The 22,895-nt window shown below is 44.4% G+C and overlaps 1 protein-coding gene and 1 long non-coding RNA gene across 93 annotated transcripts in view, besides 4 other annotated features; both read right to left on the minus strand.

Annotated features, from left to right (window-relative positions):
* ASPRV1 (aspartic peptidase retroviral like 1) overlaps positions 1-22,895 on the minus strand; it is a 154,659-nt gene that overhangs the window by 118,795 nt on the left and 12,969 nt on the right. The window contains exons 4-6 of one of the 10 annotated variants that reach the window (NR_170636.1): positions 8,132-8,169; positions 4,203-4,399; positions 2,220-2,281 (exon numbers count right to left, since the gene is read on the minus strand). The exons of 8 other annotated variants lie outside the window; for them this stretch is intronic. The gene's annotated coding sequence lies outside the window, so the exon portion shown is untranslated. The remainder of the gene's footprint in view (positions 1-2,219; positions 2,282-4,202; positions 4,400-8,131; positions 8,170-22,895) is intronic. One more of the 10 variants, NR_170637.1, reaches the window with a different exon arrangement.
* Positions 1-22,895, minus strand: part of PCBP1-AS1 (PCBP1 antisense RNA 1) — a 125,946-nt gene that overhangs the window by 89,249 nt on the left and 13,802 nt on the right. For 16 of the 83 annotated variants that reach the window (NR_033872.1, NR_183089.1, NR_183098.1 and 13 more), the window contains one exon: positions 8,132-8,169. The exons of 44 other annotated variants lie outside the window; for them this stretch is intronic. This is a non-coding gene — a long non-coding RNA (PCBP1 antisense RNA 1). Of the gene's footprint in view, positions 1-2,219; positions 2,282-4,144; positions 4,400-8,131; positions 8,170-22,895 lie in introns of all 83 variants that reach the window. 23 more of the 83 variants (NR_183088.1, NR_183124.1, NR_183131.1 and 20 more) reach the window with 8 other exon arrangements.
* Positions 17,820-17,899: an enhancer, noted in NCBI's record as "active region_15984". NCBI's record gives its function as "activates an Ori minimal core promoter by ATAC-STARR-seq in GM12878 lymphoblastoid cells {active_cell/tissue: GM12878}" and the evidence as "EXISTENCE:reporter gene assay evidence [ECO:0000049][PMID:35858748]".
* Positions 19,346-19,640: an enhancer, noted in NCBI's record as "tiled region #12254; HepG2 Activating DNase unmatched - State 5:Enh, and K562 Activating DNase matched - State 5:Enh". NCBI's record gives its function as "activates a minimal TATA promoter and a strong SV40 promoter by Sharpr-MPRA in HepG2 and K562 cells {active_cell/tissue: HepG2 | K562}" and the evidence as "EXISTENCE:reporter gene assay evidence [ECO:0000049][PMID:27701403]".
* Positions 19,346-19,647: a biological region, named in NCBI's record as "Sharpr-MPRA regulatory region 12254".
* Positions 19,578-19,647: an enhancer, noted in NCBI's record as "active region_15985". NCBI's record gives its function as "activates an Ori minimal core promoter by ATAC-STARR-seq in GM12878 lymphoblastoid cells {active_cell/tissue: GM12878}" and the evidence as "EXISTENCE:reporter gene assay evidence [ECO:0000049][PMID:35858748]".

Raw genomic sequence — 22,895 nt, forward strand, 5'->3', positions numbered from 1 at the left:
GTATATATCAAGTGTTTATCATAGAATGCTCACAATAATCAAAATATTGCAAATAAAAAGCCCAATAAGTATACCAAATGTCCAACAAATTCATTCACTCAACAAATATTTATTAAGCATCAGTGATGTACCAGGAACTGTTCTCAATACCAAGTATAGAGCATGGATAAAAGAAAAAAGGGTCAGGTGTGGTGGTTGACACCTGTAATCCCAGCACTTTGGGAGGCTGAGGAGGGAGGATTGCTTGAACCTAGGAGTTTGAGACCAGACTGGGCAACACATTGAGACCCCATCTTTAGAAAAAAATTTTAAAAATAGCTGGGTGAAGCAGCACATGCCTGTAGTCCCAATTACTTGAGAGGCTGAGGTAAGAGGATCACTTAAGCCCAGGAGGTAAAGTTTGCAGTGAGACGAGATCATGCCACTGCACTCCAGTGTGGGTGACAGAGCGAGACCCTGTCTCCAAAAAAAAGGGGTAGAAACACTCATTCTATGATATAGAATGAGATGCTGCCTGATTCTAGCATAATAAAACAATCTTTAAAAGAAAAATCCCTGTCTTCATGGAGCTTATATTCTAATGGAGGGAAGTTAGGCAATAAGCAAATAAATAAGAAAAGTATATATCAGATGATGCTAAATGCTATAGAGAAAAATATAGAAGGGAAGAGAGATAGGGAAGAAAGGAGGATTGTTATCTTGTTACGGGAGTCAAAGAAGACCCCACTGATAACAGATAAAATAAATGGATTAAATATTAGAGAATAATAGCAGTATTATATCCACTCACTGAACTATAATTCAGCCCTTTATTCTGTATTTATTGACATGAAAATGTCCTCAATCAAGTGAAATCAAGTGAAAAAAAGATGGTAAAACAGTAACAAGATATGACTCCATTGATATAAAATTACACATATATATGCTCATATTCCAACTGGGAGAGTAGACCAACATCTAACAAGATTAATAATACTGAGTAAGGGTCCAGGCTGAGTGCCAGGCAACAGTATAAGCAGCGTATCTGTTCACGCACCCATTCACTGATCCTCCTCCCAATACCTATACTTTGCTCCAGAAAGAATTTAAGGACAGCAAATCTACACACCTCCTCAAGTTCTTTATTTCTCTAATCCTTTCTCTCTTCTTCCCAGAAGCCAGGCCAGTGACAGTGTGAAAAAGGGACATAAGAAGGATGGAAGGAAACCTCCACAGAATCTGGATGGGATTCCTCTTATTTCAATACATAGGAAACAGATCCTGGGGAGGCACAACTCCTCCCTGCACACCTGCAGGATTTGAAGCAAGGCCACCTGACTCAGACTCCCTATTTTCATCCCCTACAAAACCCAAGATGCCCTGCAGGGACAGCTGGGAGCAAGCCTGGCTCATCATATGGAGGTGAAAGGCCACAGGAGGCCAGAGCTCTACCCTTGGCACACAAGGCCTACATCTTTCTATGAGCAGAAATGACAGAGTCAAGCCCTTTTTGGCCCCTACCATGTCCTCTCCTCCATGCCTGTACTCATAAGCTATCCTGGCTAAGTTAATTCATGCTCAACCCCCCATATCCACCGCCTTGCCCATTTACCGCAGAGATTCACAGATTTCCCCACTAAGGTTCTTGAGACTAAGTCCCTACGAAGGAAAGCTGCCGAGGGTGACCAGACATGTTAGTTTGATTCAAACATTTTCAGTCTGGGGTGAGGGTAGCCAGGGTTCAGATCTATCTGCTCTTACATATGTAAGAGCAGACTACACTTCTTGTTTGAGCATAATGCCACAAACAAGGAACTGGAAACTTCCCAAAGGTGAAATCCACATTGTTGGTGCCTGTATCTTTAGCCTGGGGTGGGGGGTATAGGCACATGAGTGGAGGCAGGGCACTCAGGGAAAGACTCAACTACTTCAAAACATTTCTCACATACTCTCTGTCACCTCTTGGACACCAACTATAAGCCAGGCTCTGTGTTAAGTGCTTTCATACACTATTGACAAAAAAAGTAAAATCACTTTTATCAAACATTCCTACTATGTACTACTGAATTTAAGACGCCTAAAGCACATTCAGGTCCAGCTGCCCTGCTTATAGTTAAATATTCAGGCTTGTTGTTAAGCAGAGGATAGAAACCTGAGATTCTCTCCTCAGGGTTATCACAGAAGTCTACAAACTATCAAGTCTGATTCTTCAGGCCCCAATCTGGCTTCAGCTCTCTTACCTGTGCTTTCAGCAGGAAACATCACACTCATGTACGCATCTCAAGTCCCCAACACACTTGGTCTGCAAGTGGAAGAAATTCCCTGCTAGAAATGGGTACCACATGAGGTAGACAAAACCCAAAAGTAATCACACTTCTTCAGCAGAGGAACCTCTTTCTCTCTCCACCTCTCTCATCTTTGCCAAATGTGTATTTATTGAACAACTCGTATTATGCTCATCACTACAGGATATAAGAGATGCCTCCTGCCTTCAAAAATTTACCCTAATAGGGAAAACAAAATCAACACATAGGAAGCATGTTATAAAAATAAGAGGGCTCACCAGGCGCGGTGGCTCACGCCTGTAATCCCAGCACTTTGGGAGGCTGAGGCGGGTGGATCACAAGGTGAGAAGTTCAAGACCAGCCTGGCCAAAATGGTGAAACCCCGTCTCTACTGTAATCCCAGCTAGTCAGGAGGCTGAGGCAGGAGAATCGCTTGAACCCAGGAGACGGAGGTTGCAGTAAGCCGGTATCGTGCCACTGCACTCCAGCCTGGGTGACAGAGTGAGACTCCGTCTCAAAAAATAAAAAATAGGTGGGCGCGGTGGCTCACACCTGTAATCCCAGCACTTTGGGAGGCCGAGGCGGGTGGGTCACAAGGTCAGGAGATCAAGACCACGGTGAAACCCCGTCTCTACTAAAAATACACACAAAAAAATTAGCCCGGCGCGGTGGCAGGCGCCTGTAGTCCCAGCTACTCAGGAGGCTGAGGCAGAATTGTGTGAACCCGGGAGGCGGAGTTTGCAGTGAGCCGAGATCGCGCCACTGCACTCCAGCCTGGGTGACAGAGCAAGACTCCGTCTCAATAAATAAATAAATAAATAAATAAATAATAAAATAATAAGAGGGCTCCAGGATTTCTAGTGCATGGAACAGGAAAACAGAGATGCTGGTAAAACAAATGGAGAAGTGGGTAAAGTAAGACAAACGATGGGATGTCCTGGTATATACAGCTATCTTCAATTTCAAATAACCACATCTCCCCCTTTTTGGTTCCATTCCTAGTAGAGGTAGGTTTTACTTCAAGAAAAATCTCTAATACAAACATCTGAGACATAAAGTTGGGGATCATTCACAAGACAAAAAAGAGTCTCCTCTTTGCTGTAAAGTTAACTAAGATATTATTTAACCACCCCTTAAACTATCCATCATACATACATACATACATATATATACGTACAATGTTTATACCCAGCTTTTCAGGATCACATTTATAAGGTGAAGCAAAGTACTTTTAAAAAACACTCAGGACAGGCGAGGTGGCTCACGCCTATAATCCCAGCACTTTGGGAGGCCGAGACAGGTGGATTACCTGAGGTCAGGAGTTTGAGACCAGTCTGGCCAACGTGGTGAAACCCTGTCTCTATTAAAAATACAAAAATTAGCCAGGCGTGGTGGCGCACGCCTGTAATCCCAGCTACTCAGGAGGGCTGAGGCAGGAGAATCACTGGAACCTGGGAGGTGGAGGTTGCAGTGAGCAGAGATCGTGCCACTACACTCTGATGCCACTGGGCGACAGAGCAAGACTCCGTCTCAAAAAAAAGAAAAAGACACGCACACGTATGTTTATTACAGCACTATTTACAATAACAAAGACATGGAACCAACCCAAATGCCCATTAATGATAGACTGGATAAAGAAAATATGGTACATATAAACCATGGAATACTATGCAGCCATAAAAAGCAATGAGATCATATCCTTTGCAGGGACATGGATGAAGCTGGAATCATCCTCAGCAAACTAACACAGGAACATAATACCAAACACCACACATTCTCACTCATAAGTGGGAGCTGAACATTGAGAACACATGGATACAGAGAAGGGAATAACACACATCAGGGCTGTTGGGGGGTGGGGGTGAGGGGAGGGAACTTACAGGATAGGTCAATAGGTGCAGCAAACCACCATGGCACACGTACAGCTATGTAACAAACCTGCATGTTCTGCACATGTATCCAGTTTTGTTTTTTCTGGTTTTTAGAATAAAGAAAAAAAAATTTATAAAGGCAATGTATCAGGTTGGGTGTGATAGCACATGCCCGTAATCCTGACACTTGGGAGGCCAAGACGGGAGGATCGCTTGAGGTGAGGAGTTCAAGACCAGCCTGGGCAACATAGCAAGACTCCGTCTCTACAAAAAAATTAAAAATTAAAATTTTTAAAAAGGCAACGTATTGATGAATGAATGGCTAAACTATGATGCATACATAAAATGGATTATTATTCAACCTTAAACCAGAAACAAATCCTGTCACATGCTAGAGCATGAATGAACCCTAACACATTATGCTAAGTAAAATAAGCCCATCACACACACAAAAATACCGTATAACTCTATTTATATGAGGTAGTAAAGTATCCAAATTCATAGAAACAGAAAGTAGAATGGTGGTACCAGAGAGAAAGGAGGGGTAGGGCAAGAAGAGTTGTTGTTTAATGGGTACAGAGTTTCAGTTTTGCAAGATGAAAAAGTTCTGGAGATCTGCTGCACAAAATGTGAATATACCTAAGACTACCAAAATGTAAAGACTTAAAAGTGGTTAAGGCCGGGCGCGGTGGCTCACGCCTGTAATCCCAGCACTTTGAGAGGCCGAGGCGGGCGGATCACGAGGTCAGGAGATCGAGACCATCCCGGCTAAAACGGTGAAACCCCGTCTCTACTAAAAATACAAAAAATTAGCCGGGCGTGGTAGCGGGCGCCTGTAGTCCCAGCTACTCGGGAGGCTGAGGCAGGAGAATGGTGTGAACCCGGGAGGCGGAGCTTGCAGTGAGCCGAGATCGCGCCACTTCACTCCAGCCTGGGCGACAGAGCGAGACTCCGTCTCAAAAAAAAAAAAAAAAAAAAAGTGGTTAAAATGGCATATTTTACGTTTGTTTTTTACAATTTCTCATACCCTTAAAAATGGTTAAGATGGTAAATTTTATGTGTGTTTTTTTACAACTGCTTTTGTTTTGTTTTGTTTTGTTTAGACAGAGTCTTGCTCTGTCACACAGGCTGGAGTGCAGTGGCACAATCTCGGCTCCCTGCCACTGCAACCTTCACCTCCTGGGTTCAAGTGTTTCTCCCGTCTCAGCCTCGCGAGTAGCTGGGATTACAGGCGTGCGCCACCTCACCCAGCTAATTTTTTTGTATTTTTAGTAGAGACTGGGTTTTGCCATGTTAGGCAAGCTGGTCTCAAACTCCTGACCTCAGGTGATCTGCCCGCCTCAGCCTCCCAAAGTGCTAGGATTATAGGCGTGAGCCACCGCGCCCAGCTCACAACTACTCTTTTTAAAAAGGTAATGTTCATATGTGAAAAAAAAAAATTCAGCAACAGAGAAGGATATTAAAAAACAAAAAGGCCAGGCATGGTGGCTCATGCCTGTAATCCCAGCACTTTGGGAGGCCAAGGTAGGTGGATTGCTTGAGTCCACGTGTTCTAGACCAGCCTGGGCAACACAGGGAAAACCCATCTCTATTAAAAAAAAAGAAAGAAAGAAAGAAAAAGAAAATTTTCAGAAACAGTATGGGTATATAACAAGTATACAGAGTTTCTCCTCTTTTTACATATAAATGCTAACACTAGCACACTAACCATAAATACAATTTTGCACTTTTCTTTAGTTTTCTCTTAATGACAGATCTTGGAGATTGTTCCACATCAGCTTGTTTATGTATATCTGTGTCATTTTTCTTTTTCCTGCAACCAACCATCCATTATGTATCTTTTTTTTTTTGAAACAGGATCTTGCTCTGTTGCCCGGGCTGGAGTGCAGTGGTGTGATCTCGGCTCACTGCAACCTCCGCCTCCCAGGTTCCAGCAATTCTCTTGCTTCAGCCTCCCAAGTAGCTGGGATTACAGGCATGCACCACCACGCCCAGCTAATTATTGTAGTTTTAGTAAAGATGGGGTTTCATCATTTTAGCCAGGCTGGTCTTGAACTCCTGACCTCAAGTGATTCACCCGCCTCGGCCTCCCAAAGTGCTGGGATTATAGGCATGAGCCACTGCGCCCAGCCAGTAAAACGATTTTTTTGTTTTGTTTTTTTTTTTTAGACAGAGTCTCGCTCTGTGGCTAGGCTGAAATGCAGTGGCACAATCTCAGCTCACTGCAACCTCTGCCTCCCAGGTTCAAGCGATTCTCCTGCCTCAGCCTCCCGAGTAGCTGGGACTACAGGCGCATGCCACCATGCCCAGCTAATTTTTTGTATTTTTAGTACAGACAGCGTTTCACCATGTTGGCCAGGATGGTCTTGATCGTGATCTGCCCACCTCAACCTCCCCAAGTGCTGGGATTACAGGCGTGAGCCAACACGCATGGCCAAGCTCATTTCTACCAGGCTGTATGTGTTGGCTTTATCAGTACCACAAGGAATCACGGATATGATCAAGGAAATACATGAAATACACATCATCTTCTCAATGCTATGGTCACCCTTTACACTCTGCTGTCTTTATAAATTTCTTGTCAAAATTATTCATTTTACGTGTTTAACTCTGAGGAAACTGAGTCTCACTCTGTCACCCAGGCTGGAGTTAACCTCCACCTCTTGGGTTCAAGCAACCTTCACCTCCCGGGTTCATGCGATTCTCCTGCCTCAGCCTCCCAAGTAGCTGGGACTACAGGCACGCGCCACTGCACTCAGTTAATTTTTGTATTTTTTGTAGAGACAGTGTTTTGCCATGTGGGCCAGGCTGGCCTGGAACTCCTGGCCTCAAGTGACAGCCTGTGTCAGCCTACCAAAGTGCTACAATTACAGGTGTAAACCACCACGCCTTTACTCTGAAGAAATTTTTTTTTTTTTTTTTTGAGACAAAGTCTCGCTCTTGTACCCCAGGCTAGAGTGCAACGGTATGATCTCGGCTCACTGCAACCTCCACCTCCCAGGTTCAGGCGATTCTCCTGCCTCAGCCTCCTGAGTAGCTGGGATTACAGGCGCCTGCCAGCACACCCGGCTAATTTTTGTATTTTTAGTAGAGACAGGGTTTCACCATGTTGGCCAGGCTGGTCTTGAACTCCTGACCTCAGGTGATCCTCCCACCTCAGCCTCCCAAAATGCTGGGATTACTGGCAGAAATTACGCACCTGGCCAGAAATTTTTTTTTAAGTTTTATTACCCAACTTTTTTTTTTTTTTTTTTTTTTGAGACAGAGTCTCACTCTGTCACCCAAGCTGGAATGCAATGGCGCCAACCCGGCTCACTGCAAGCTCCGCCTCCCAGGTTCACGCCATTCTCCTGGCCTCAGCCTCCTGAGTAGCTGGGACTACAGGCGCCCGCCACTACGCCCGGCTAATTTTTTGTATTTTTTTTTAGTAGAGACAGGGTTTTCACCACGTTAGCCAGGATGGTCTCATCTCCTGACCTCGTGATCCGCCCACCTCAGCCTCCCAAAGTGCTGGGATTACAGGCGTGAGCCACCGTGCCTGGCCCACCAACTAATTTTTTTAAAAGCACCTCTTTCACTTCAGTGTCTCTCAGTCTGCTGATTGGTTTTCTTTTTTTTTTTTTTTTTATGGTAAATTGAATTTTTTTTTTAATTATACTTTAAGTTCTGGGCTACATGTGCAGAACATGCAGGTTTGTTACATAGGTATGCACACTGATTGGTTTTCTTAGAGGGAGCATAGTGAGGTAGAAATGAGGGCTCCTTAGATACATCAGGGTTCAAGTATCAGTTCTGCCATTTCCAAGTTAATTAATCTCTTAGAGCAGACGTCCCCAACCTTTTTGGCATCAGGGACCCGTTTCATGAAAGACAATTTTTCCATGGACAAAGGGGAGGGAATGGTCTCAGGATAATTCAAGTACATTACATTTATTGTGCACGTTATTTCTATTATTATTATGTTGTAATATATAATGAAATAATTATACAACTCACCATAATGTACAATCAGTGGGAGCCCTGAGCTTGTTTTCCTGCAATTAGATGAGATAGGAGACAGTGACAGATCATCAGGCATTAGATTCTCATAAGAAGCATGCAACCTAGATCCCTCACTTGCTCAGTTCACAATAGAGTTCCCACTCCTATGAGAATCTAATGCTGCGCTGATCTGACAGGAGGCACAGCTCGGGCAGTAATGCGAGTGATGGTTGTAAAAACACAGATGAAGCTTTGCTCACTCGCCCACCACTCACTCACCTCCTGCTGGGCAACCTGTTCCTAATGAGCCACAGACTAGGGTTGGGGACACCTGTCTTAGAGCCTCTGGGTTGTCAACTGTAAAAGACAGACGCTACCATCTATCTCCTACACAGGTAAAATCACAATATATGGTTGAAAAGCCTGTTAGAAGGCTAGGTGTGGTGGCTAATGCCTGTAATCCCAGCACTTTGAGAGACCGAAGCAGGCGGATCATCTGAGCTCAGGAAATTGAGACCAGCCTGGCCAACATGGTAAAACCCATGTTCACTAAAAATACAAAAATTAGCTGGGTGTGGTGGCGCACATCTGTAATTCCAGCTACTCGGGAGGCTGAGGCATGAGAATTACTTGAACTCAGGAGGCAGAGGTTGCAGTAAGCCGAGATCACACCACCACGCTCCAGCCTGGGCAACAGAGTGAGACTCCATCTCAAAAAAAAAAAAAAAAAAAGCCTATTAAAGAGGACAAAGTGCTGTCTCTGTTGAACCTGCACTGTCTCAGAAGTCAAAGAAATGCTTAAAGAAGTAGTAAAGGACAAGAAGGAATCTGCCAAATTGACATGAGAAAGGGTGTTTCTGGCAAAGGCAACAATACATACAAAGGGCAAGAGTTGGGCATAGTCGCCGGGCACAGTGGCTTACGCCTGTAATCCCAGCACTTTGGGAGGCCGAGGCAGCTGGATCACCTGAGGTCAGGAGTTTGAGACCAGCCTGACCACCACGGTGAAACCCCGTCTCTACTAAAAAAAAATACAAAATTAACCAGGTGTGGTGGCACATGCCTGTAATCCCAGCTACTTGGGAGGCTGAGGCAGAAAAACTGCTTGAACCTGCAAGGCAGAGGCTGCAGTAAGCTGAGATCGCTCCACTGCACTCCAGCCCGGGCAACAAGAGCGAAACTCTGTCTCAATTTTAAAAAGTTGTGCAGACACACGATCCAACAACACAGATACTAACATGAAAATAAAAATGTGGATTAGTCAACAAGTAGTTATTGAGTGTCTCTACATACTAGGCCCTGAAGATACATAACCAGGAACAAGTTCCCTGCCCTCACAGAGCTTAAAACCCACCAGGAGAGAAAGACAAACAGTTAAGTGGTCTTATGTAAACAAATGGGGTGCTAACAGTTTCTTTATATAGAGCGGCCAGAAAAGCCCTTCAAAAGGAGATAATGCTTACTTGACAATTAAAGGCAAAGGACAGGCCGGGCACGGTGGCTCATGCCTGTAATCCCAGCACTTTGGGAGGCCGAGGCAGGTGAATCACTTGAGGTCAGGAGTTCAAGACCAGCCTGGCTAACATGGAGAAACCCCGTCTCCATGAAAAATACAAAATTAGCCGGGCATGGTGGCGCACGCCTGTAGTCCCAGCTACTTGAGAAGCTGAGACAGGAGAATCGCTTGAACCTGGGAGGCAGAGGTTGTAGTGAGCTGAGATCATGCCACTGCACTCCAGCCTGGGTGATAGAGTGAGACTCTGTCTCAAAAAAAAAAAAAAACAAAAAAAAACCTAGGGATAGTTAATTGAGACATTATGCACAGTAAAGAGTGTTCCAGGCAGAGGCTATACAGCACTGCAAAGGCCTTCAGGCCAGAAACTACTGGAGAAGGGGTCAACGAACTGTGAGCAGATGAAGGTGCCAGCAGTAGGGAAGAAGGGGCCTGGGATGAGACTTGAGAAACATGCAAGGACCAGATACTGCAGGATCCAAGTAAAGAACTCAAATCTTTTCCCTGCCTTTTCTCTAAATATGGTCTGGAGGACCGGGTGCAGTGGCTCACACCTGTAATCCCAGCACTTTGGGAGGCAAGTGGATCACCTGAGGTCAAGAGTTCAAGACTAGCCTGGCCAACATAGCGAAACCCTGTCTCTACTAAAAATACAAAAATAAAAACAAAAAATTTAGCTGGGTGTGGTGGTGGACGCCTGCATTCCTAGCTACTCTGCAGGCTGAGGCAGGAGAATCTCTTGAACCTGGGAGATGGAGGCTGCAGTAAGCTGAGATCACTCCATTGCACTGCAGCCTGGGTGACAAGAGCAAAACTCTGTCTCAAAAAAAAAAAAAAGGAGAAAATAGATATCATAGATATCTTTGGCTGAGCACGGTGGCTCACACCTGTAATCCCAGCACTGTGGGAGGCTGAGGTGGGTGGATTGCCTGATGTCAGGAGTTCGAGACCAGCCTGGCCAACATAGTGAAACCCCGTCTCTACTAAAAATACAAAAAATTAAAAAAAAAAAAATTTAGCTGGGCATAGTGGCGGGTGCCTGTAATCCCAGCTACTTGGGAGGTTGAGGCAGGAGAACTGCTTGAACCTGGGAGGCAGAGATTGCAGTGAGCCAAGATCGTGCCATTGCACTCCAGCCTGGGCAACAAGAGCGAAACTCCATCTCAAAAAAATACATATATATATGATCTGGAGACCAGATGACTGGTGTCAGAATCACCTGGCAGGCTGATCAAGCTGCAGATTCCTGGTCACCACCCCAAACCTACTCAATTAGAGTATCTAGCAGTTGATACCAGGAAATCTGCATTTTAAACAAGTATCCAGCGCCCCCTCTCTCACCCTCATGGGTAATTCTGATGCACTAAAGCTTCAAAACCATAGCTCTAGGAACAAGGCTAATGAAGAAAGGCCCTTACTTGAAGCTGGCTGTCAATGTCATAATTAGAGTACTATGTAAAGCCAGAGTCAAGCTGGGCATTAAGTAATCTAGACAGAGCAGTCTGAGCTAAGTGTGATGGTGCACACCTATATCCCGGCAACTTGGGTGGCTGAAGCAGAAGGGTCATTTGAGCTCAAGTTCAGTGCTGTAGTGTGCTATGATCACGCCTGTGAACAGCCACCACACTCCAGCTTGGGCAACATAGCGAGACCTTGTCTCTAGAAAGAGAAGTCTGAATGAATTATGGAATTTGAAGGTCCCAAAGCAGAAAATAGAAGGCAGGACATTACAGCCATGGGACTTAAGAGAACAGAAGGAGCAAGCAAAGACAGTTAGCAGTCTCAGGGAAATCACTAACAATAGTCATGATCTCCAGCTCTCTTAGGTTGGTTTTCCCAGCATGGCCCTAGGAAGGAAATGCAGGTGCCTCACCTCACAGAGACTAGATGACCAGGCCATAGACTGCCCAGTCTGTGCACATAACCACTCCATCCAATCTTCAAAACAGAACACACCGTTCCTCAGTAAGTACTCTATCTTCATGAATCCCCATCAGCCTGCAAAAGAGCTCTGAGCTACATACAAAAACATTCAGAACACCTCTAAGGGCCAGGGACTAGCGCTACCCCTCAAGACTCTCTACTTGGCACATGAGTGCCCCCTAACGCTGTCAAAATTTAAGAGCCAGGTCAGAAACCTTGATGCCCACTCCTACATACCTTCGGATCCCACCATTCACACACATCCAGCCAGTCTTCCAGTACTTTTTGCTATGCCTCACTGACAGAGTCCCGTACTATATTCTACAGAATACTCTCTCCCCAAAATTCAGAGAGAAATTCCACAGATTCATGTTGAACAGAGTCCTGAACTCCTAAGGCTGCTGAGGCCAGCTCCTATGCCTGGTTCAGTGGGAGGAGGTAGCCTGAAGAGAGCTCACTCCCTTCACCCTGTCTGAAGGAAGCTCCAGGACTACTGCAGGCTTCTGTACATGCAACTTGTTTCAAAGATAAGGGAGTTGAACCTGACATATTTAAAAGAATGGATAGGCTCTTGGCAGCAGAAATTTAGGTGGGGGAAAAGTTAAGGTAGGATTTCTGGGGATTTCATTTTAAAGTAAAGAGCCCATAAAATACAGAGAAAGTAATATACACTCTCACTCAAATCCTTGTATGTCAACTATCTGATCCTTTCTATAATCCAAAAGCTGGTTCCAAACTAAAGAGGTAAGAATGCTAAAAGATGATTTAAGTAATCCCCAAGATTATTTATGACTCTAATCCTGAATTGCTTGCCCTGTTCCTTCTTACACTCTACTCACTATCCAGGTGCTCCAGGTTTATGATTTAATGATCCTGCTTCAGCCTTGTCTCATCTTATCCTTCAGGCCTTTTGCTTCCTTCCTTGCTTAGAATTCTACTCCGCTGTCAGTTATTCTGCCCTCAGCTACCTGAAGTTAATAATATGCCTACCCAGATTCTCAACCTTTATCCTCAGGACACATGCTCCCTTCATGAGCAAGTGTTTTGTGTCAGGCTTACCCTGGTTTCATGGATATGACTTAATCATTTTAGATGGTTCATCCAGGCAAACAAGGGAATTACCAAAGATGGACGAAATAGGAAGAATGACAATGAACCAAGGGCCAGTGTTTAAAACTCACCCTGACATCCTAAAGCACAGCTTCCTAGACCTCAGGTGCTGCCCCCAATACTCTATCCCCCTCCCTAGTGCCCCACCTCAAAGGTCCTTCTAGCCACTGCTGATAAGCTTTGACTAGGAATTCATGGTGAGCACAACATAAGCTTACAGTCTAGTGAAGGACACAGACAACAAAATAATTACAATACATATGATAATTAATGGCAATGCATGCAGAGTTGTAGGATCAAGGCTAATCAGGTGAAGTTATATGTATACTAAGCTATAACTTAGATGATGAATAGGAGATATCCAGGCAGTGGCAGAGCATGGGAGGAAGGGTGTTCTAGGCACAATGAAGAGCACACGCAAAGGCCTTGCAGCAAGAAAGCACATCTAAAGAGATGTCATGAGCTGGAGGATGGGAAGGTCAAGATAGGTGACTGATGCAGATGATGCTGGAGAGGCCAAAAGGGCCTAATAGGACAAAGAAAGTTGTTTTACTATTCACTTCACAAGTATTGTCAATAATGTGTCAGACATTGTCCTAGGTGCTAGGAATACAACAATGAATAAAACAAACAATATCAGCCAGGCACAGTGGCTCACACCTGTAATCCCAGCACTTTGGGAGGCCAAGGCAGGCGGAACGTTTGAGGTCAGGAGCTCAAGACCAGCCTGGCTAACATGGTGAAACCTTGTTCCTACTAAAAATACAAAACTTAAGCCAGGCATGGTGGCACACGTCTCTAATCCCAGCTACTGAGGAGGCTGAGGCACAAGAATCGCTTGAACCCAGGAGACAGACATTGCAGTAAGCCGAGATCGAACCACTGCACTCCAGCCTGGGCAACAGAGCCAGACTCCATCTCAAAACAAAACAAAACAAAACAAAAAAAAGGCCAGGTGCGGTGGGTGGCTCATGCCTGTAATCCCAGCACTTTGGGAGGTTGAGGCGGGTGGATCATGAGGTCAGGAGATCGAGATCATCCTGGCTAACACGGTGAAATCCCGTCTCTACTAAAAGTACAAAAAATTAGCGCCTGTAGTCCCAGCTACTCAGGAGGCTGAGGCAGAAGAATGGCATGAACCCAGGAGGCGGAGCTTGCAATGAGCCGAGATGGCGCTACTACACTCCAGCCTGGGTAACAGTGCAAGACACCATCTCAAAAAAAAAAAAAAAAAAAAAAAGACAATATTCCTGTTCTCTTTTAATTGGAGAAGACTATAAACAAATATGTAAATAAACCAGAAAATTATAATATATTGATAAGTGCGATCACAGAATTAAAATCAGGTGATGTTAATAAAAGCATATGGGTAGATACTTTAGAATCATTAGATAGTCAAGGGAAGACCTGTCTGAAGAGATAGCATTTAAAAGCAGGGGCAGGGTGCAGTGGCACAGAGACCAGCTGTGAGACCTCGTTTCTACAAAAAATTTTTTTAAAAATTAGCCAGGTGTGGTGGCGCATGCCTTTAGTCCCAGCTACTGGGGAGGCTGAGGCAGGAAGATCCCTTGAGCCCAGAGCGGTACAGTCAGTTATGATCACACCACTGCACTACAGCCTGGGTGACAGAACGAGGCTTTTGACTCAAAAAAAAAAAAAAAAAAAAAAAAAGAAAGAAAAAGAAAAGGAAGGAAGGAAAGAAAAGAAAAATCAGGTATCTCAATAAAATGAAGTCATTAAAAGCTCAATGGAGGCTGGGTGCAGTGGCTCACGCCTGTACTCTCAGAATTTCAGGAGGCTGAGGTGGGAAGATCACTTGAGGCCAGGAGGTCGAGACCAGCCTAACCAACATGGTGAAACCCCATCTCTACTAAAAATAACAAAAATTAGCTGGGCATGGTGGTGCACACCCATAATCCCAGCACTTTGGGAGGCTGAGGCAGGACAATCGCTTGAAACTGGGAGGCAGAGGTTGCATGAGCCGAAATCATGCTATTGCACTCAAGCCCAGGAGACAGAGACTCTGTCTCCAAAACACAAAGCAGTTCAATGGAAACATCACTAACATCATTTTTTTTTTTTGAGATGGAGTTTCGCTCTTGTTGCCCAGGCTGGAGTACAATGGCGCAATCTCAGCTCACTGCAACCTCCACCTCCCAGGTTCAAGTGATTCTCCTACCTCAGCCTCCCGAGTAGCTGGGATTACAGGTGCCTGCCACCACGCCCAGCTAATTTTTGTATTTTTAGTAGAGATGGGGTTTCACCATGTTGGCCAGGCTGGTCTCGAACTCCTGACCTCAGATGATCCACCTGCCTTGGCCTCCCTCCTAAAGTGCTGGGATTATAGGCATGAGCCACTGCGCCTGGCCTCACTGACATCTTTTTAAGCAGGAGAATTATCATTTAAGCAATCATTCTTACATTTTACTTTATTTTTTTTTTGAGACAAGGTCTCCCTCTGTCACCAAGGCTGGAGTGCAGTGGCATCATTACAGTTCGTTGCAGCTTCAACCTCCCAAGCTCAAATGATCCTCCCACTTCAGCCTCCCAAGTATCTGGGACCACAGATGTTCACCAGCACCACACTTGGCTAATTTGTTATTTTTTGTAGAGACATGGTCTCACTATGTTGCCTTGAACTCCTGGGCTCAAGCGATCCTCCCACCTCGGCCTCCCAAATTGCTGGGATTACAGGCATGAGCCACCACGCCTGGCCCATTCTTCCATTTTATGAAGATCACTCTGGCTGTAGTGTGGAGACTGGAATGGAGGTAGGGGTGAATAAAATTAAGACTGGAAGCAGTGATGATAATGGATTATATAAACTAAGATGATGATAATAACAACTAAGATTCACATAGCAATTAGTAGGTACCAATCTATTATTCTAAGCATCTTATATATATTAATTCACTTAATCCTCAGAAGTACTCTTTTATAAATTTAAAAACTAACGTACAGGGCAGTAGCAATGGAGAGGGAAAATGATTAGATTCAAGAAATACTGAGGAGGTAGGGAGGACAAGTCCTAGTGACTGGTTGTCAGACGTGGGAAGGGAAGGAAGGAATGATTAATCATTACTGGGTTTGGGGCTTTAGCCGCTGCATACTGTCTATAATGTATATGATTGGGCACTGGAGAAGGAGCAAGTGAGAAAAAGCAGGGGGCTGCAAGACATCCCAGTGGGGTTGTAAGCAATTGGATAATCTGGTCTAGAGATCTGGGCTGGAGATTTGGGAATCATCCACGTGTAGATGGTAACTGAAGCTGCCAAAGAGGTTGAGATCACCCAAAAACTGGAAATACCTTAATGTCTTCATAGAAAAATAGCCAAATAAAATACAGCATATCCATTCTATGAAATACTATCCAGCACCAAAAAGAATGAGATATGCCTGTTTGTACTAACATGGAATACTGTCAAAGCATGTTATTAAATCATAGAAGAAAATACCAGAATGATACATAAGATGTTATATCACTTGTATAGAGAATTAAATAAAACAAAAAATAATACTTTAAATTTTTTCTGGGTTCATACATGTGTAAATAAACACACAGGAAGAAGTATGGCAGGTACATTCCAAATCACCAATACATTACCTCTAGTGAATACAGAAATAACTGAAATGGGGAGACAGGAATAGCCAAAATATGATCTACAATGTTTTGGTATTTTAAAAATATCATTTATTATATTCTCTGTAAATTAAATAATTTTTCAAAAAGATTGGGCAGGAGGAGAAGCTTACAAAGGTCATCTTTTGCTTCAGATACTAAATTCTCTCTGTCCTTCCCATCCTCCACTGGCCTTGAGGTTCACGTATTCTGGCTTCTCATCTGTCTACCTCTGAAATGTTAACACCAAGCCCCCTAAGTCCACACTCTATCCCAAATCCTTGGCTCCAGGCAAGCCCTGGTCACCAATCTCTGAGCCTGGGCTATAGCCCCAGGAGGAGAGATCAGACACCAAAATCGCAACACACACAGGGGAAATGGGTATAGATGCCAGCTTCAAGGACAGTGATCAAGTGGCCTTGCTGGCCTCCTGGCCAGCAGAAATTTCAAAGAGCAAAAGGTATCTGAAAGTATCTGGCCATTTGGAGGCAGCTCTGGAGTGCTGAGGAATGGGGCTGAAGTACAGTCAGGCAAAGTCAGGGGTGAAGTGGTAAGGAGTGGGTTGAAGAAAGAGCTAGTTTCACTTGTAAAGATTCCAAATGAAGTGCTGCAATCTTATGGAAACCAGGTTTACAGAAAAAGGAGGCGGCAAGCTGCATTCTGTGAGTCTGGCTGGAGAACGGGGGTTTCTAGGGGTATCTAGAGGAGTCACTTCCAAAGCACCAATTCCAAAAGGCACATTATGTAAAGGTTTAGTAGCTAGAGCAGCAGCAGGAAGCTAGAGATGTGAATAGAAAGGAGGTAAGGAAGATCTACAAATGAGGAAAGATGAAGGCAAGTTAAAGCCTTTCCTTCAGCCAGGCACAGTGGCTCATGCCTGTAATCCCAACACTTTGGGAGGCCAAGGCGGGCGGATCACCTGACTCAGGTCGGGAGTTCGAGACCAGCCTGACCAACATGGAGAAAACGCGTCTCTACTAAAAAAAAAAAAAAAATAACAAAATTAGCCAGTCGTGGTGGCACATGCCTATAATCCCAGCTACTCAGGAGGTTGAGGCAGGAGAATCACTTGAACCCAGGAGGCGGAGGTTGCAGTGAGCAGAGATTGTGCCATTGCACTCCAGCCTGGGCAACAAGAGCAAAACTCTTGTCTCAAAAAAAAAAAAAAAAAAAAAAAGCCTTTCCTTCGTCAGTAAACCAAAGGCAGAGATCATGGGCAGCTTTCTGGTGATTGTACCCTTAAGTTTCAACTTTCTATAGATGAAAGACAATGTATTTGGTCATGTTTTCCTGGTTACCCAAAAAATGACACAGCCCAGGCCTTACCCAACAGCTGATTCACCATCAATTAATCTGTATCACAGCCTGCTGAGCCTCACACCTCACACAGTCACACACTAGACAGCTCTGGGGGAAAAAAACAACCCAAGGTGAGCTGTCAAAGTCCTCTTCGTAACCTGACCTCGCCCTCTGGGGTAGGTTTCATTTCAAAACTGAAAGGGACTGAAGGGCTGGGGAAATCCAAAGATCAACAGAGCCAGGAACAGGTGGTTCCCACAGAAGCATCCCAGGTTGGAACTCAAAACAGAAACCAGACCACTGATAAGACATGGTTTATGATGTCTGTCTCCAAGCCTTCGGATGCCATTTATATGTTTTTGATATTTACAATAGGGCATGACCACATTTATCCAACTCCTGACTACTAAAAATCTAATTCTCCAAGTGCTCAAGCAACTTCCTGGTTTTATTACATTTTAGAGCTTCGGGGTAGCTCAATAACTGAGATACCAGGGAACTTGCGAATTCTTTAGCCCTTCAAATGGGCCACAAATAATGAATTTTATCTCTTCTTCCTTCTTCATCTCCCCACAAAGGCTTGGCAAAATTCCTGTCTCACTAAAAAGTTTCTAAGTTGTTCATAATGGCCCTCTCAATGGAGCAATATTCAATACACAAAAGTCTAGTTCATCAAAGGAGTCAGGTTATTTGCTTGAGGTTCATCTGTAACTAGCTATATGAGCTTGGACAAGTCACTTCACCTTTCTGAGTTCTATAAAGTAAGGAGGTTGGAAAAAAAAAGAAAGGGAAGCAATAAAACAACCTTGAACAGAAAAAAGACTTTAAGTTTTTAAGTCTAAAAGGCTCATCAAGTGCCAACAAGTGTTATTTTTAAAAGGCATACACCTCAGCCTGGCCAACACGGCGAAACCTCATCTCTACTAAAAATACAAAAATGAGCCAGGCGTGGTGGCACGCATCTGTAATCCCAGCTACTCGGGAGGCTGAAGCAGAAGAATCGCTTGAACCCAGGAGGCAGAAGTTGCAGTGAGCTGGGATCGTGCCATTGCACTCCAGACTGGGTAACATGAGCAAGACTCCATCTCAAAAAAAAAAAAAAAAAAAAAAAAGACATACCAGAAGCATACCACAGGAAACTCTAAGCATAAATAAAAATTCACAAACTTCCAGAACAAGAGAACAGATTATTACTTACAAGGAAAAAAAATCCCATTGGACTTCTCATCTGTATCACCAGAAACTCAAAACACTGGAAAGCTACTTAGACTTTGTCGAGACTAGGACTAGTATTCCAAGAATTCTAAACCTAACCACAATATCATTCATACACGAAGGTTAAAAAGAAATTGGACATAAAAAGACTTTGAAAGTACCACTCATGCCCCCCTTCTAAGAAAATCACTCAAAGAAATGTCCTACTTGGCTGGAAGTGGTGGCTCACGCCTGTAATCCCACCACTTTGGGAGGTCAAGGCGGGCGATCATGAGGTCAGTAGGTCGAGACCAGCCTAACAGTGCAAAATCCTGTCTCTACTAAAAAAATAAAATACAAAAATTAGCTGGGCACAGTGGCGCACGCCTGTAGGAGGCTGAGGCAGGAGAATCGCTTGAACCCGGGAGGCGGAGGCTGCAGTGAGCCGAGATTGTGCCATTGCACTCCAGCCTGGGTGACAGAGTGAGACTCCGTATCAAAAAAAAAAAAAAAAAAAAAAAAAGGAAATGTCCCAGGCAATTAACATTTAACTGTAACAAAGCCAGGAAAGACAAACTATATAAAAAACATGTTTCCCCTCCCCAACAAAAACCTTTTAATGAGTTTGGACCAGATGACTTCGAATGGCCTTTCCAAGTATAAACAGAAACTGCCCTGTACACCACAGTCCCTGGCAGTCTGGGTTTGTGAGTTGTTCATCACCTAGTGGCCTGATGAAGTAAATGCAGTTTGTCAAGTGCCCGGATAAACTTCCAGCCATTTTGTGAGCTCTGATGGCGTATGCAGCAGGGCAGCAGCCTGACCTCCTAATGATTACAAGAGTAGGAGACTGCAAACCCTCCAAACTCACAGACAATTGTAAAGACTTAGCTCACCATCAATTCATTCTTCAAGGAGGAAAGGAAAGCATACTCACCTTGTAACTAAATAATCCTAAGTGAAGCACAGATTTGTCAGACTGCATTTACAAAGTAGGGAGAAGTAGAAATTGTTTCTGTGCAGAATGATCTGAACTGAAAGCAAGTTTAGGTATTAGGATAAACTGCAAATATGTCTTACACATAGGAAGACTGTCTTCAAAGGTTCATGAGTTTGCATGTGGAAGATGTATTACATTTATTCTGTATAGTTCCGGGGTACTGGTCTAAAATTAGGCCGGGCACAGTGCCTCACGCCTGTAATCCCAGCACTTTGGGAGGCTGAGGTGGGAGGATCACCTGAGGTCAGGAGTTCCAGACCAGCTTGGCCAACATGGTGAAACCCCATCTCTACTAAAAATATAAAAATTAGCCAGGCGTAGTGGCACACACCTGTAATCCCAGCTACTCAGGAGGCCAAGGCAGAAGAATCACTTGAACCCAGGAGGTGGAGGTTGCAGTGAGCCGATATCGTGCCACTGCACTCCAGCCTGGGTGACAGAGTGGGACTCCGTCTCAAATATAAATAAATAAAAACAAAAATTAAATTAATGAGAAGTCTCAATTAGATTTCAATTCAAAACAAGAAATAATTTTCAGCAGGGCACAGTGGCTCATGCCTGTAATCCCAGCACTTTGGGAGGCCAAGGCGGGAGGACTGATTGAGGTCAGGAGTCCAAGACCAACCCAGGCAACATAGCGAGACCCAGTCTCTACAAAAATTTTTCTTTCTTTTTTTTTTTTATGAGAAAGAGTCTCGCTCTATTGCCCAGGCTGGAGTGCAGTGGCACGATCTCAGCTCACTGCTACCTCTGCCTCCTGGGTTCAAGCAATTCTCATGCCTCAGCCTCCCGAGTAGGTAGGATCACAGATGTGAACCACCATGCCCAGCTAACTTTTGTATTTTTAGTAGAGATGGGGTTTCGCCACATTGGCCAGTCTGGTCTCAAACTCCTGGCCTCAAGTGATCCACCCACCTCGGCCTCCCAAAGTGCTGGGATTACAGGTGTGAGCCACTGCACCCAGCCTCTACAGAAAATTTTTAGAATTAGCCTGGTGTGGTGGCACACAGTAGTCCCAGCTACTCAGAAGACTGAGGCAGGGGGATCACTTGAGCCCAGGAGTTCAAGGCTACAGTAAGCTATGATCACACCACTGCACTCTAGCCTGGGTGACAAAGCAAGACCCTATCTCTTAAAAATAAAAAAAGGCCAGGTGGCTGGGCGCAGTGGCTCACGCCTGTAATCCCAGCACTTTGGGAGGCCGAGGCGGGAGGATCACTTGAGGTCAGGAGTTTGAGACCAGCCTAGCCAACATGATGAAACCTGTCTCTACTAAAAATAAAAAAATTAGCCAGGCATGATGGTGAGTGCCTGTACTCCCAGCTACTGGGGAGGCTGAGGCAGGAGAATCACTTGAACTCAGGAGGCAGAGGTTGCAGTAAGCCAATATTGTGCCACTGCACTCTGTCCTGGGCGACAGAGCAAGATTTCGTCTCAAAAATAAAATGAAATAAAATAAAATAAAAACAAAAATAATAATTTTTTGCAGGGCATGGTGGCTCATGCCTGTAATCCCAGCACTTCAGGAGGTCAAGGCAGAAGGATCACTTGACCCCAGGAATTCGAGACCAGTCTGAACAATATAGTGAAACCTTGTCTCTATAAAAAACTAAAAAAAAAAAAAAAAAAAACAGCCGGGCATGGTGGCATGTGCCTGTAGTCCCAGCTACTCGGAGAAGGGAGAAGCTGAGGGGGAGGATCGCTTGTGCCAGGGAGGTTGAGGCTGCAGTGAGCTGTAATCCAACACTGCACTCCAGCCTGTGTGACAGAGCAAGACCCTATCTCAAAAAATTATGATTATATTTCTACCAATGAGAGCTTTTCAACAACGATGTCCTAAGAACTGATGAGCTCCCCTATTAATGGAGGTATTCAAAGAGAACTTGAAAGATCATTTGTCAGGAGAATGATAGAAAACATTCCTGTAATTGGATGGCAGGCTGGAGACAAGGAGACTGCATAAAATTACTTCAAAGGCTCTTTTCAGCTCCAAGAGTTTTTATTCTAAATAAAAACAAAACAAACAAAAACCACTAATAAATAACTAAGAAGTCCCTCTTCTATTTTTTTAAATATCCAACCAGGCAGTACAACTTAGTAGCTAAAAGTACGGGTTTGATACTACTTTCTCTTGAGTAAATCTGGACAAATTACTTAACTCTACTTGCCTCTGTTTAGAATAAGAGTACCTATTTTGTAAGATTACTGTGAAGATTAAATGATACTTCATTTAATCTTTAACGATACTTAACGATACTTTGTTAAGTATTTAAAACAGTGTCTGACACATGAATGTGTTTAAAACTAGCAGCTTAACAAGGAAAGAAAAAGGAAAGGTGGAGATGGGAGAAAGGCAAGGAATGAAACCTAAATGTGCGGCTTGTTTTCATTATGTGTACCCAAGCCTCAACCAAAGCATTGCTGGCTGTTGCTGGCCAGAGGCTGGGTTCCCTTGGCAACCAGCCTCAAAAAAGAACCTAGATCTACCTTCTTCAGGGAGACGGCTCATCCCTTGCCCTAGAATCTGGCATCTTCCCTGCACAAGGCAGACTCTCTAAGAACTCACAGCCAGGTGCGGTGACTCACACCTGTAATCCCAGCACTTTGGGAGGCCGAAATGGGCAGATCACGAGGTCAGGAGATGGAGACCATCCTGGCTAACACGGTGAAATCCCATCTCTACTAAAAATACAAAAAAATTAGCCGGGCATGGTGGCGGGCGCCTGTAGTCCCAGCTACTCGGGAGGGTGAGGCAGGAGAATGGCGTGAACCCAGGAGGCGGAGCTTGCAGTGAGCCGAGATCTCGCCACTGCACTCCAGCCCGGGCGACAGAGCAAAACTTCATCTCAAAAAAAAAAAAAAAAAAAAAAAAAAACAGAAATCACAAATACCATTGCCCCAAACTCAAGGAGCTAAGCAGGTGTTAAGCAGGTGTTACTCTTACTTCCTATGATCAATTACAGAACATCAGAGTTCAAAGAGACTTCAGAGGCCATCTAGAGCAACTGCTTTTTTTTTTTGGAGACAGAGTCTTGCTCTGTCGCCCAGGCTGGAGTGCAGTGGCACAATCTTGGCTCACTGCAACCTCTGCCTCCTGGGTTCACGCGATTCTCCTGCCTCA

This window comes from Homo sapiens, chromosome 2, assembly GCF_000001405.40.
Source record: "Homo sapiens chromosome 2, GRCh38.p14 Primary Assembly".
Taxonomy (NCBI): Eukaryota; Metazoa; Chordata; class Mammalia; order Primates; family Hominidae; genus Homo; species Homo sapiens.